The 15113-nt window shown below is 51.4% G+C and overlaps 1 protein-coding gene across 3 annotated transcripts in view, besides 1 other annotated feature; it reads right to left on the reverse strand.

Moving 5' to 3' along the window:
* The window catches only part of WNT7A (Wnt family member 7A), a 63814-nt gene that overhangs the window by 48121 nt on the left and 580 nt on the right, over positions 1 to 15113 (reverse strand). For 2 of the 3 annotated variants that reach the window (NM_004625.4, XM_047448863.1), the window contains exon 2: positions 10569 to 10795. In NM_004625.4, coding sequence (NP_004616.2) covers positions 10569 to 10795 — 227 coding nt within the window. Of the gene's footprint in view, positions 1 to 10568; positions 10796 to 13476; positions 13550 to 13697; positions 13760 to 15113 lie in introns of those variants that run through there. The other variant, XM_011534091.3, reaches the window with a different exon arrangement.
* Positions 14166 to 14667: an enhancer, noted in NCBI's record as "H3K27ac-H3K4me1 hESC enhancer chr3:13920041-13920542 (GRCh37/hg19 assembly coordinates)". NCBI's record gives its function as "activates a minimal SCP1, AML or CMV promoter by ChIP-STARR-seq in naive H9 embryonic stem cells {active_cell/tissue: H9 hESC(naive)}" and the evidence as "EXISTENCE:reporter gene assay evidence [ECO:0000049][PMID:30033119]".

Here is a 15113-nt window from a genome sequence, read left to right on the forward strand (position 1 = left end):
AAGCCACTCTGGATCCCAGGGCTCCTGTCTGCGTCGCCCAGCCAAGCCCTTCCTGCTGCCACTCCCCTTCCCCTCCTGGGTTGTGGACGGCCCCTACTTCAGGTGACCCATGTGGGCAGCTTCTGTGCTCATCTCCCAGTGCCTGTTTCTCTTCCACTAGATCCTCAGAGCACTTTTCAGCCTTGACTTCCCAGTTTGTCCCCACCAGATAGCAAGTGCCCCAGACAGAGCCTGCACCCCAGCATTTACTGCAGAGATTCTAGTAAATATCTGTGGGATGAGGACGTGAATAAATGAGTGGACATACAAGTGGGGGAGTCTTATCCCATGAACATTTAACTTCCATAAATTGAACCAAATGTACCAGAAAAAAATTAAAATATTATATACTTATATTGTGGATATATACTCTTCATTCTATACACTGTGTTGTCGCATATACATTTTACATGTATGTGCATGCTTTCCTGTACTTGTATGGAAACTCAGGCATTCTGAATTTTATGCATGATTGAAGGGACTTTCAATGGTAATGTGGATTAGAATGGATTTCGCTGCCCATGGCAATGTCCGAAGCGAGGATGTGCCTCTTCTGTACCCTTGGGGAAAGATATGGAAATTGGTGGTGGGTGGATATACTTTTTGGTAGATTCCAAGTTGACCTATAAACCACATTCTGAGTATGGTCAAGCTGTGAGGGTCTCCAGGGTGATATTCCCCAGTGTGTGTGCCCCTAAGAGCAGCTCCACTGGGCAGTCAGTGAGTCCAAGGATGGAAATGAGTGGACCCTCTAGATTGAGTCAGCTCAAGCTGCTGTCTTATCTACAGGACATTTCAGCACCTTTAATATGCCGGCAGGCACCCTGACTCTCCAGGAGCAGGGAGTATAACATGCTGAGTTCCCCCATTTTATTGTCCAAGGGAATGTCCTTTTCTCCCCGGGGCAGCTGGCAGTAGGCGGCAGGTGGAGCCTGGGAACGGGCACAGCTCCTCTTGAATCATGCCACAGGGGTCTTTCCTAGGCACTAGACCTAGTCAACATTTTTTATCCCATTTTGAGCCAATGCAGAGATGGACAGGATAGCTAACAGGATGGTTGATCAAATTGACATTAAAAAGATCTTGATGAGTGAGGCTGCCCAGCTAGAATGGAGCTCAATGAAAATGTGCAGACATGAACGTGCAGTTTTTTATTTGGGGTGAGAAGTAAACAGCCGTCACTCACGCAACAGAGAAAACGGAGCACCTGCTGTGCATGAGGTGCTCCCCAGACCCGTCATTTGGAAGATAAACAAGGCCAGGCCTGTCCTCAAGGGCTCGGAGCAACTGGGGCCACACAAGGTAGAAAGGAGCTGGCCTGCCTGGGGGCCATACACTTCTTCACGTGTTCCATGAGGACCTACTGTGTGCCAGGCCCCAGGACACATGCTGGCGGTCTGGGGAGAAGAGGATCAGCAGATCTGGGCCCCATGGAGCCTCATGATGGCAGAGAAGACTAATGTCAGATGGGTTCTTGCAAAAGTAAACAAAGTCACTTCCAAAAGTGGTAAGTGCTGCAAAGACAACAGTGCAGGGTGCCCTGTCAGGGAAGGGTGGAGGGTGCTGTCTTGGACAGGATGGTCCAGGAAGACCTCCTGGAGGAGGTGGCCTTTGAGTGGAGACCTGCATATGCAGGATATGACAGGTTGCCCACTATCACTCAGCTGCATCTCCCAAGTACCCTCTGTGCCATCTCCTGCTGCAGAGAGGAGTTGGGGCAGGGGGCTGCTCTGGTACCTGTGATGTCCCTACATCCACTGAGCACCTCCACAGGGACTGTGCCCTCCATGTGCCAGGCACTGGGTCAGAGGCCCCTGCTCCCTCACAGAGCTGCCTTCTGGCCAGAAAGACAGACAATAATAACAACACAGCTACGATGTATGGGGCACTTCCTGTGTGCCAGGCACAGTTCTGAGTGCAGTAATTAACCTCATCCTCTCGCCACCTGTGGGAATGGTGCCATTATCACTCCCGTTTGGTCAAGGCCCACTGTTGGTAAATGACCAAGCAGTAAGCTTCAGGGCTGAACCACTACACAGCGCTGCACAGATGAGCAAGTTACAGAGAATACATCCTGGAGTAACAAAGTGACATAAAGAAAATGCTACACAGTGAGAGCGGACAAGGACAGGCAGTGTACACTAGAGAGGGGGTAATGAAGGCTTCTCCGAGGGGCTGACAGGTGAGTAGAGGATAGAAAGACAGAGGGAGCGAGCCAAGCTGGCAAAGAGCATCCAGGCAGAGGGAACAGTGAGGGAAAGGCCCTGAGGTGGGAGGGACTTTGGCAGAGGTCCATAAAGGAGCAGGGGATGGGTGTGCGTTTTATTCTCAGAACAACAGGAAACCGCGGGAGGGTTTTACACAGCAGGATGCCACACGGAGCAACACGGAGAAGATGTCATGCTGGATGGCTGCGTGGGTTGCAGGATGAAAGGGAGGAGGTGGAGTGCATTTGGAGGTTGATGTCATTGTCCAGGCAACAAGTATCTGAAGATGGCGGTTTGAATCAGGAGGTGGTGGTGAAGGTGGTGAAAACTGGACAGATTGGGGGATATAGTTTGGAGGTAGAGTCAAAATGGTCAGCTTAGGATGGTAATCACTAAGAAAATCTAGAGCATGGGTCCCGGGTTCCTTGAGCTTGTGTTCATATGACACGGGCACACAGGCCTCCTGGAAGCGGGCAGGGGATGTCATCCAATGGATAACAATGAGCCAGGCTCTTACATCCCGTATCATGTAATGCCACTACCACCTAGCAAGGTGGGTGTGTGGCTCCCCCATTCTGCAGACTGTCAGAAAGGTGAAGTACTCACTTAAAGTCATCTGCAAGGTAAGGGTGGGGCTGGGATGCAAACCCGGCCATGTGACTCTGATTTCAGTACTCACTTGGCAGCCCCACACCTGCAGCAAGACAAGGGGTTCTCAAATACATGGCAGACTTGAGAATCTCTGGCAGGATCACACAAACAGAAGAATCCCTCTAGCAAGGGGGGACTCACAACTGATTTCAGCTCTGCCACAAAACAGCCACATGATCTTGGTCAGCCTCTGCCTGACTCTAAGCCTGTCTCCCAGGAATGAGACGGAGGTGGACACACTTTCTTTCAAGGGTGCCAAGGACCCAATGAAGTGACGGATGAGAAAGGGCTATCTTGGCTCCTGGTCCACACTGATCCTCAGTGAAAAGATACAAGATAGAGTGAAGCCTCCCACAGCCCACTCACCCTGAGGAGCCCACTCACCCCAAGGAACCCACTCATCCCTAGGCATTACCTGGTCTAACCCTGGTTTCCCTGCACTGTGACTACAACCACACTGGCCAAACCCAATGGGAGAACCCACAACCCAACAGAAAAATGGGGAAAAAGCATGAAGAGGTAACTCGTGGAAGAGCGAACATGCACAGCCAGTAAATACAGGAAGATATTTCAACCTCATCACTTCTCAGGGAAGTGCAAATCAGGATGCTGTTAGATTGTCTTTCTCACCCACTCACTGGGCAGACATGCAGCTGGCCAGTCCCAGTGTTGGAGCTGTGCTTCCAGCGGGGGAGGAGCTTGGCACAATAGCAATTCAATCCAACCAAAATGAAGTCATTTACTTTTGGGGAAGATCTCCATATGATACATTAAACATAAATAAGCAAGGGAATGGGAAACTCAAGATTCAAGGTAGGGAAAGTGTAGCCAGGGAGGGAGAGGCAGGGAAGACATGAGGGAGGCTCACAAACGTGGATGACAAGTTGTGTTGGGGGTAAATTCGAGGAAGGTCACAATATTATTTAAGAAAAAAATGGCCAGGTGCAGTGGCTCACACCTGTAATCCCATTGCTTTGGGAGGCCAAGGCAGGATTGCTTGAAGCTGGGAATTTGAGACCAACCTGGGCAACACAGTGAGACCCGTCTCTATAAGACAACAGAAAAGAATTAGCCAGGTGAGGTGGTGTGTGCCTGTAATCCCAGTGGAAGGATTGCTTGAGCCCAGGAGGTGGAGGCTGCAGTGAGCTATATTTGCAGTGCTGCACTACAGCCTGGGTGACAGAGAGAGACCCTGTCAGAAAAGGAAAGAACGAAAGAAAGAAAGAAAGAAAGAGAGAGAGAAAGAAAGGTGGGAGGGAGGGAAGGGAAGGGAAGGGAAGAAGGGGGAGAGAGAGAGAGAGAGAGAGAGAGAGAGGGAGAAAGAAAGAAAGAAAGAGAGAGAGAGAGAAAGAAAGAAAGAGAGAGGAGAAAGAAAAAAAGGAGGGAGGGAGTGGGAGAGAGGGGGAGAGAGAGAGAGAAAGAAAGAAAGAAAGAAAGAAAGAAAGAAAGAAAGAAAGAAAGAAGAGAAAGAAAGAAAGGAGGGAAGGGAAGGGAAGGGAAGGGAGGAAGGAAGGAAGGGAGAGAGAGAGAAAGAAAGAGAGAGAGAGAGAAAGAGAGAAAGAGAGAGAGAAAGTGAGAGAGAGAGAGAAAGAGACAGAGGGAGAGAAGGAAGGAGGGAGGGAGGAAGGAAGGAAAGAAGGAAGGAAGGAAAGAAGGAAGGAAGGAAAAGAGAGAGAATGGAAGGAAGGAAGGGAGAAAGAGAAAGAGAAAGAAAAAGAGAAAGAGAGAAAGAAAGAGAGAGAGAAAGAGAGAAAGTGAGAGAGAGAGAAAGGGAGAAAGAGAGAGAGAAAGCAAGTGAGAGAGAGAAAGAGGGAGAGAGAAAGAGAAAGAGGGAGAGAGAGGGAGGGAGGAATGAAAGAAAGAAGGAAGGAAGGAAAGAAGGAAGGACGGAAAAGAGAGAATGGAAGGAAGGAAGCAAGGAAGGAAGGGAGAAAGAGAGAAAGAAAAGAGAGAGAGAGAGAGAGAGGAAGAAAAGAAAGAAAGAGGGAGAAAGAAAAGAAAGGACGAGAGAAAGAAAGAAAGAGAGGAAGAGGGAAAGAGGGAGGGAGGGAGAGAGGGAGGGAGGAAGGAAGGAAGGAAAAGAGAGAAAGGAAGGAAGGGAGAAAGGGAGAGAAAGAAAGAGAGAAAGAGAAAGGAAAGAAAGAAACAAAGAAAAGAAGAAAGAAAAGAAAAAGAAAGAAAGACAGAAAGAAAGAAAGGGAGGAGAGAGGGGAGGGAGGGAAAGAGAGAGGAAGGGAGAGAGAGAAAGAGAAAGAGAGCAAGAAAGAAAAAAGAAAGAAAAGAAGGAAGGAATGAAGAGAGAGAGAGAAAGGAAGGAAGGAGGGGAGGAAGAAAGAGAGAAAGAGAAAGAAAGGAAAGAAAGACACAGAAAAGTAGAAAGAAAGAGGGAAGGAGGGAGGGAGGGAGGAAGGGAAAGATAGAGAAAGAAGGAGAGAAAGAAAGAAAAAAAGGAAGGAAGGAAGGAAAGAAAGAAAAGTCTAGAGGGAAGTGAAGGCCTTCTTAGACACCCCCCGCCCAAGGTAGCAGTTGGTCAAACTGATGTGGGGCCACACACCCCACTCAAACAATCCCTGGCATTCAAGGGTCTTGACAGCTAGCCTGCCATCTCACAGGGGACTCTCTGAGCCACCGTCTCCTGAGGCTGCAGGCCCCTGCTCATTCCCACCATAGCTCTCACATGACCATGCCTTTGCTCTGTTGTTTCCTCTGCCTGGAATCCCACTCACTGATAAATTTCTCCCCACCCTCCAAGTCCCAGATCAAGGGCCATCTCCACTGTCCAGACTCCTCCCTCCATCCTGAGGTCTCACTTCTGAGAGCCCGCCACACTCCCTCTGCCTTCTCCCTAAAGCCTGAACCATGCTGCACTCTGGCCACTCATTGCTGTGAACTGAGTCAGTACCTCAGAGTGTGACTGCATTTAGAGATAGGAACTTTAAAGAAGTATTATAATTAAGTTAAAATGAGACTGTTAGTGTGGGCCCTAATCCTATATGACTCGTGTCCTTATAAAAAAGGAGACCAGGACACAAGAGATTCCTGGGGCACATATACAAGGGGAAAGGCCATGTGAGAACCCAGGGAGAAGGTGGCAAGCCCAAGAGAGAGGCCTCTGAGAAAGCAGCCCTGCTGACACCTGGATGGCAGACGTCCAGCTTCTGAAACTGGACAATTCATTTCTGCTGTTTAAGCTACCTGGTCTGCAGGGCTTTCTTCTGACAGCCCTAGCAGACTAGTACACTCGTGAGCAGTTCCTCTCCCCTGAGAGATGGTCTGGGTGGGGCTACCAGGCTGGGCCAGAAAAAGCACTGTTGCCCTTGGCCACTGTGATTAGTTTGGGATGGGCACACAACCAAAAGTAAAGCCCCATTAGCTGGTCCAATCCGAGTGAATCTTAGAACTTCTCCAAGTGCTGCTAGAGAAAGGCCAATGCTCTTTCTGGGGGTACTTGAATCTGGAAGGTGTGGCACTGCAGGTGCAAAGGCCGTCCCGCTGCCCCAAGAGGTGGCCCTGGGGTTGCCGGATGCCAACGCTACCTCTGGTCCAGTCCATTTCGAAAGTCAGCACCATGCCCTGGCTCTCCAGTTCCTTAGGCATACATAAGTCCCCCTTTCACCAGAGGTGGCTTGAATTGGGGTTCAATTTCTAGCATGCAAGGGGACCTTGCCTGGTACCTGCCCATTGCTGCCTCTCAGCTCTATGCAGGAAAACTGAATACTCAGAAGGGAGCCAGGCATGCGATGAAGAACTCTTCCTCTTCAGTCACAGAGTCCAGCTGGTCTCATGTCCACTCTGAATACAAGATTACGCTTCCCAGCTTCCCTTGCAGCTAGATGTGGCCATGTGACTAAGTTCTGGCCAATGATATGTAAGCAGAAGTATGGGGTGGAGCTTTGGAAAGTTTCTCTTTAAAGGCAGACAATGGGTCCTGGTGCTCAAAGTCAGGACTTAATGGCCACAGCTCCAAAGGCCAGATTTTTACCCCTGCAAGACAGCCCTTGTTAGCTGGTCATTCCCAGAAAGTGGCAACCCCATGGGGGTGAGAGCACTGAGGAGGAGCGCAGTGACCCTAAATGTCATGCTTGCTTCTTGATGTCCTGGAGCAGGACACCTGTCTATATATGAGGAAACCTAAGCTCAGGGGCATTTCAGACTCTCAGGGCTCTCATCTTGACTCATCTTCCTCTTCCCACTGCCACTACCCTAGAAGTCTAGACCAGAGTGACTCCCTCCTTCCTAGCAGGCCTTTAGGTTGTCACCCTCCCTCCCTCCTGGCTGGCCTTTAGGTTGTCACCATCCCTCCTTCCTAGCTGGCCCTTAGTTTGTCACCCTCCCTTCTTCCTAGCTGGCCCTTAGTTTGTCACTCTCCCTCCTTCCTGGCTGGTGGATTTCAAAGCAGGTCTCCATGGCTATCACTGAGGCTGAGCCACCATCACCTCCTTCCTGGAAGACTCGACCAGACTCCAGACCCCCACTGCCACCCTACCCTGCAGTTCATGCTTTTGCCAGCAGCCAGAGTGATGCTGCTAAACCCAAAGTCGGATACTGTCCCTCCCTTATTGTCTCCCCTCCAGAAGGTCTCCATTCCCATGAAGGGAAATCCAGACCCCCTGCCCTGGCCTGAGGGATGCTGCACCACCCAGCTCCTGGCACTTCCCCTTCAGCCTTCCTCACTCTACTCCAGCCACCCCAGCCCCTCGCTGTTCCTTAAGCCACCCCCAAGCACGTTCCACCTCAGGGCCTTTGCATCTACTGTTCCCTTTGCCCGACATGCTCTTTCCCCAGACATGCCCATAGCTCACCTCCCTCACAAATCCAGAGCCATTCCCTGGACACACACACTGGAACAGGAGCCTCCAGCCACAGTGGACACCAAATAACTTGGTGAATGCATGAATAAATCAACAAGTATTATAATCAATGAACTTATACTCACTCTTTCATGAATCTTCTAAAATTCCTATAAGGTTGAATGGATTCCTATTCCTATTAGGGGCTATGGATTCAACCAGAGACCTGACCCTCGTTGGGAGTCCTGAATGCAAGTCAATGCATAATATATGTATATCAACATATATTATGTTGCCACTTCTGTGGGCCAAAAATCATTTCATAGTGGCAATTTCATAAGTTCAACCTATCCTCTGGCAGTCACTCCCACACTCAAAATCCTCCAACGACTCCCACTCAGAAATTCAAACTTGTTAAATTGACCCTGTATACCTCCTGGCTCCAGCTCCTATTTCCTTCCAGGCTCCTCCGACCAACTGCCCTGCATCGCTGTCCCAAGGATTTTCTTGGGCACCTCTCTTTGCTGGAATTCCCCCAGCCACCTCTGCCTGCCAAGCCCACTAGAATGCCTCTTGCCACTGGCCTCTGCTCCTCCCTGGTGTGCGCTGGCAGTATTCCTCCTCAGCCTCTCTTCTACAACCATGGCCAGCTGGGGGCTGCTCAACAGGAGAGGATCCTTGTCCAGGCACTGCCCTGCACTGCAGCCCTCCTGCTCCACCCCAGACCTCTGTGGGGACTATTCCAATGCCAGTTGATATACTGACTGTTCTGAGACTGAAAATTATACGGGAATGAACCCAGTCCTGAGAGGCCCTGCCACTCATTTGACTTGACTTCGAGCAAGTCCCTTATGAGCCTCAGTTTCCTCATCTATAACATCTTATATATCAGAAGCCACAAATTTAAAACAATGCTGGAGCCCATGCCTGGGTCCCAGGAATTTTGTGTGTGTGTGTGTCTGTGTGTGTTATCTGAGTAGAAGAAAGCACAAAAACCACAAGCGACAAGCAAGGGGAGGCTCACAAGACAGATTAAGCAACCTAAACTGGAGTCTCAGTGTTGATGCCACTCACTATGTGACCCGGGACAGTCCCATTCTCTCTCTGGGCCTCTGTTTCCAACTAAAAAGTGAGCCCTGGGCTTGGGAAGAGGGAAAAGCAGGGCAGACGGTGCAAGGCAAAAGTCTACACAACAAAGACCCTGGAAAAGGTTTGCCTCTGGAAAGATCCTCTGCCAACTTCACCAGTGGCCCAAATGTCACCTGGTGACATTTGTCACCAGGTGTCATTTGGGTCACTGGTTGCTGGTTTGCACCTCTGTCGATAAACTATTGGGATGGTATGGATTCAACTAGAGACCTGGCCCTCACTGGGATTCCTGAATGCAAGTCAATGCACCTGCAGGACCCCATACTGAGATCCTGTCTACAGTTCTGTAAGGTGCAAATAAGAAGGCACTCACAGAATATGGTGACAAAACCAGGCCTGCTGCAGGGATGGGTAAGGCTGTGCTTCCTTCCAAAAGGCAAGGGGAAGAAAGCGTTCAGTGGTAAGCATGGGAGTAGAGCCCCTGCCCTCATGAAGCTGACATTGCAAACCAGTTCGGAATGGATTGAGACAGTGTGAAGTGCTTGGCTGATGGGATGGAGCTTTGAGGTGAGAGGGGACTTTCGACAAGGTCGAAAAGGTCTAGAAGACCTGGACAGGGTCAGGGGCATGGGGCTGAGGAAAGGAGCTAAGGCAGAAGAAATAGCTGGTGTCCAGTGTGGTGTGTTTGGGAAAAAGGACAAGGCTGAGTGAGCAAGGTGAAGGGGGAAGATGGCAGCAGAGGTCAGCAGCAGCTAGATGAGCAGTGGGGATTTCATTCTGATGCAAGAAAGCCTCCAGAGGGGTTTAAGCAGCGCAGTGACATGATCTGATTTCCATGTAAAAGGATGATCCTGCCTGCTGGGTGCAGAAGGGACTGCAGGATGGCCAGGAGCAACAGGGCAATGAGATGGGGGAGCGTGGGACAGCCTGGGAGCCCAGATGTGACAGCAGTGTGACCTGAGGAGGAGGCGGCAGGATACCCAAAGATATCCAAGGCTGACCTGGCTTTCAGGGAAGTTCACAGTGCAGAAGCCAGCCTGTGGCAGTTTCTGGTCCCCTAATGCACACGCACACAAGCCAGAAGACACACAGCACGGCCTCCTGCCACTGACCAGGGCCTCCTGGAGACCAGCATTGCTCTCTCTGACCCTTTTCCACCAGACTTTTGTTATAGTTGCTTCAGAAGTCAAATGTGTGGCTCAAAACTCTGTGTGTATGTATGTGTCTGCACACGCCATTCCCATAAAACAGTTGCAAAGTCAAAAGCCCACAGGAGTCAAGCGGATCATGTCACAGGAATGCACAGGACGGGCAGCAGTAGGGAGTGGTGGGGACTGCGGCAGTGAATGGGTTGCCCATTCACTGCTGCAACTAAAGGGAGTTGTGTTCTCAGTTTAAGGTCTTTGCAACCACATGGGCACACATGTAAATTAAGAGTAGATCTGCCAACTTTTCAAAAGAAACCAGAAATTCCTATATTTTAGGTGAAACAACAAATTTTAAAATTTGGGCTTCAATTCAAAACACAACACCAGCACTGTATCAGAGGTTAACATTTGGGTCACTGGTTGCTGGTTTGCACCTCTGTCAATAAACGATTGAGGGGGTATGGATTCAACCAGAGACCTGACCCTCACTGAGAGTCCTGAATGCAAGTCAATGCACCTGCAGGACCCCATACTGAGGGATATTCTAGCAGGGGCAGGTGAGGGAGTTCCAGAGGGCACCTGAGGGTATTCTGGTGTCCCTAGAGCCGGTAAGACTCTGCGGGGGTGTTTGGGTGAGCACATACCCACTTTGAGCTCCTTCCCGAAGACGGTGCGCTCTCCCAGTGCAGAGCAGTTCCAGCGGCCATTGCGGAACTGAAACTGACACTCGTCCAGGCCCATTTGTGAGCCTTCTCCTATGACGATGATGGCGTCGGGCCGGCTCTGGCAGATCGCCCGCTGTCTGGGAGCCAGGCCTGGGATCTTGTTACAGATGATGCTTGCGCCCAGAGCTACCACTGAGGAGAAGCCACTGGAGGGAGAGACACAGAGAGATGGAGCATTAGGCCAGCAAGGGGGCATGGCCTGGGAACCCTTCGTAGGTGTCCAGCACTGGCCACCCCACTGCCCCCAGCAGTGGTCTCCCAACTTTTTTGATCCTGCACCCCTAACTCATGTCCATTCGAATAGAAACCCTATAATTTCTACATAGGCTCTTGAATCAATGCGTATACCCAATATCAGTGAAACATACACACACTTGATTTTTGTTTTAGAAACAAAAAAAGATGATGTATGTCACAAACATTACATGGAGTAAAAAAGGCAAGTTGCCTTTGAGTTTATGGTAGGATGCAATTGAGATGAAGTTCAAAAACATGCAAAAGAAGCTCTATATTGCTAGGGAATCATCTCTTTGGTAAAATTGTAAAGGCAAGCAAGGAAATGATGACTTCAAAGTTTCATGCAGCAGGTGCCTTTGAAGGAGTGATGGGTGCACAGATGTTCATTAAAAAAATCTGTTTTTTAATGTATATGTAACATATACTCTCATGTATGTATATGTTTTATTGTTGGAAAAAAAACTTAAAAAGTAATTGTAAGTAGAAGTCCTGGCATTTTCTTCCTGCTGTCAATGGAGTACATGTATCCCACTCCGGGCATGACTGGCCTAGAGGATGTGTGCGACTATTATGAGGAGAATTCCTATCTTCCTCAACTATTCACTGATATATATCGGATACCCATCATGTGCCACGTACCATGCTAGGAGACAGCTGTGCACCTGACAGGCAATGCCCTGCCCTCAAGGAACTAGGGAGGGTGACAACACAGATGTCACAAATGAATAAAACAGGCCATCTCGACAGTGATATGTACTATGAAGAAAGTAAAGGAAGATGCTGGGATGGCAACTGGGGTGTGGGGGTGGTGAGGAAAGTGAGGGCCACTTTAGCTGAGGTGATCAAGAGGACTTCCTTGAGGAGTTGACATTAGAACAGAACAGAGATCTGAATTGCCAGGAGGCATCTGTGGGAAGATCTGGAGAAGGGTATTCTATGCAGAGGGAACAGAAAATGCAAAGTTCTAGGAGACAAGTTCGGGGTCTTCAAGGAATAGAAAGAACCCATGGAAACTGCTACAAAGCCAGGGCTTGAGATGCAGGGAGATCCTGGGAAGAGGAGATGGCTGAGGGCTGGCATTTTCTCAGGTGCATCAGGCAGCACCAGGAAGCACTGAAGGGTGTAAGCAGGACACTGACATGACCTGGTGGTCCCCACTCCATGTAGGAAAGACCTGTGGGGTGCCAGAGCAGGAGCAGAGGGACTAGGCAGGTTAGGGTTGGTGGTGGCTTGGCTTGGTGGCAGTGGTAGGGCTGCAGGTAGAGCCACTGGACAAGTGCCTCGTCCTGGGGCTCAGCTGTGGGCAGTTTTCTGGAGTTGCAATTTGTTAGAGTGAGGTTCTCCTGTACCAATAACTCAAGGAGGTGACATGGACCCATGCCCTCCAAGCGCACAACTGATCACTCCTGCCGTTTCCCTAGGCTCCTGCCACGTGCCAGCCTTCTCCCTGCAGTAGGCACTCTGTCCTTGCTCCTCCTCTCCCTGGAAGCGCTCTCACCCCTGATCTTCACAAGCTTGGCTTCTTGCCATTATTCACATGACCTCAAGGGTCACCTCCCTGACCAGCCCAGCTAAGGGCTCCTCCCTCCCCTCCCTACCCCTAATAAATTCCCATCACAATCTCTGTTTTGTTTACTGGATATTCTTGATTACTCATGGTCTACTGAAATGTTTTCATGTCTGTGTTTTTAATTTGCATGCTCACTTGATCACTTGTCTTCCTCCTGAGAGGATGAGCTCCCTGAGGGCAGGGAGGCTGTCTGCTGGTTCACTAAATGACTGCTGAATAAATGGATTGTGGCACTTCAAAGATGTGGCTCCGGGTGAGTACCTATTACATGGCAGGTGCCCCCCAAATATGCATCAAATGCATCAGTAAACTTGGGCAGTGTCCCTACTATGTGCCAAGGCAGTATGGTGGGTGCTGCCACAAACAGCAGCTCATGTGACCTTTCCACACAGCCCTGTGGGGCAAGAATCATCACATCCGTTTCACATATTTGAAAATTGAGGCTCACAGAGGTTGGGACCTGGAGGAAGGTTCTCAGCTAGCAGGTGTTGGAGGTGGGACAGCCTGGCTTTGCACTGGCATCTCAGCGCTAAACCCGAGTCTAACACACACTAGAATGCTGGGAATGTCTGAGGAAGAAGCAGCATGAGAAGATTAAGTGGAGACGTTTTGGCATCATTTGTCAGGAGGACCCTCTGAGCACCTAGCTGGCCACCAGGAAATTTCTACACCAGCTGAGAGTGGATAGGTTGGCATACTGGGGCCAAAAATTCATAGGTGCAATAGACTAGCCCCTAAGGGTCTGGCCTAGGTTCTCATCCAAGCTTCCTTCACTTATTAGTTGTGCGATCTTAGGCAAGTTTCCTTCCCTCTGCACTTCAGTTTCTCCATGGCTAAATTAGGGTATTGATAACTAGTCCCCACCTCATTGGCTGCTGTGAAAATCAAATGTGCTAGAACATGGAAAGTGCTTAGAAGGTGCCAGGCACATAGTGAGTGCCCCATAAATGTGGTGGTGGTGTTGTAATTATCATTATCGTTATCGGATCTGATTGTTGCAATAGGCTAGTGCGGAGTCACCTGAACTATCCGAGCAAAATAAGAATACCGCAGATGCCCCACCATCAGCCAGAAGCGGGTAGAGCCGTCACGTCTGGGGAAATGGAAAAACCTTTTAGGGACGTTGAGACTTCACCCCTCATGTCCACTATACAGATGAGTAGCCCGAGGCGCAGGGAGCAGCAGGGCCTGGCCCGAAGTCACCTGCAACTCCCACCTCTCCGACCTGGACCTCTCCCTACCCCAGAGGGCAGCTTGGGGCGGAAAGCCAGCGCCCTGCAGGACTCCCTCCCTCCCTCCCTGCCGGGCAGCTGGGCCCCCGCAGGGCCAATCCGGGGAGGCCGCGGCGCCGGCGGGAGGGCGGCCCGCGGGCGGGCGGGGCGGCCAGGGGAGGTTATTTTCTGCTGTTTTCCCTTTCTGTCTCCCCCGCCACCCGTGTCCCTCCTCCCCGTTTCTAATTAAAAAGGAGATAAAGCCGCACGCGGCCCGAGTCAATCGGCTCGAGCCAATCGGCCCTACTGGCTTCCTGGATGCTGAATGTGCGCGGGGCGGCGGGGCGCGGGCCAAGATGAAGATTAAAGCAGGGGAAAAAAAGGAAAGCCACCCAGACGCGGGCGAATCAATAACACTTAAAACACACCGGCAGGCTGGCGGTACTGGCGCGAGCCCCGCAGCCGCCTCTCCGCCGCTGGTCGGGCTGGCGGCCCCTGGTCGGCTCTGCACGCACCTGCTAGCGGCCGCGGCCGGACAACTTGCGAAATCCCCGCTCCAGAGACGTGGACTGGGGAAGTGACGGGGTAGGGGGGTAGTAGTGACAAAACACAAAGGGTCTGCCACGCACATCCCCTCGCCGCAGCCCCTGCGGTCCACCCCTCCTCAAAAGGGATGGTAATGGGTTCACTGCTGGGGGCTGGAGGGGCAGGGTGTGTGAGACCTACCAAGCGGGCCCTTCAGCGCCAGAACCTCTATCCATGCCCAGATCCCCCCGCCCCCACACCGCTCCGAGCCTCACACGCGTTGTCTTAAGTACAAAGGGTGACCGGCTTTGCACAAGCAGCTCCAGGACGCGTCCCGAGCTGCCCCCTCCCACCTTCCAGCCAGAGCGCCCCCGAGCCCCACCTCCACAGAAACGCTAGGTGAAGCCGGAGGGCTGCTCGCGCGCCCGGCCGCCTCTGCTGCCCAGTTCCAGGGGGCGGGGTGTCCCGCCTCTCTCTAGCGCTTGTCTCCCTCTGTGTCTCAGACCGCCTCTCGTCCCACCTTTGTGTGTGTTTGTTGGGGGTGGGACGTGCTGTCCCCTTGGCCCGGGAAGGGGCTCTGGGAGTCTAAGGGCCCCTGGAAATTGGGTGGTGCCAAGGCTCCGAGCGGCGGTTTATGTTTTTGCCAGCGAATGTCCTTCCTCCTGGGTACCTGTTCCCTGTTTGCACGGACCGGCCCCGCCAGCCACCTGGGGACTGCCCAGTCTCTAGGAACGGCTGTGCCGCGCCTCCTGAGAGAGTTCGTCTCGGGCTCCGGGGACTGAGCTCCCCGAGATTGGCTGTGGTCCTGGCTTGATGTTCCTGCTAGACCTGCTGTCCCTATGCCCGGGTCCGAAGGGTCCCCGGGATGGGCTGAACCTTTGCAGCAGCTAGCCCTCCCCCAGAGTCCCTCAGGCTGGAGCG

The sequence above is a fragment of the Homo sapiens genome, chromosome 3 (genome assembly GCF_000001405.40).
Source record: "Homo sapiens chromosome 3, GRCh38.p14 Primary Assembly".
NCBI classification, from domain to species: domain Eukaryota; kingdom Metazoa; phylum Chordata; class Mammalia; order Primates; family Hominidae; genus Homo; species Homo sapiens.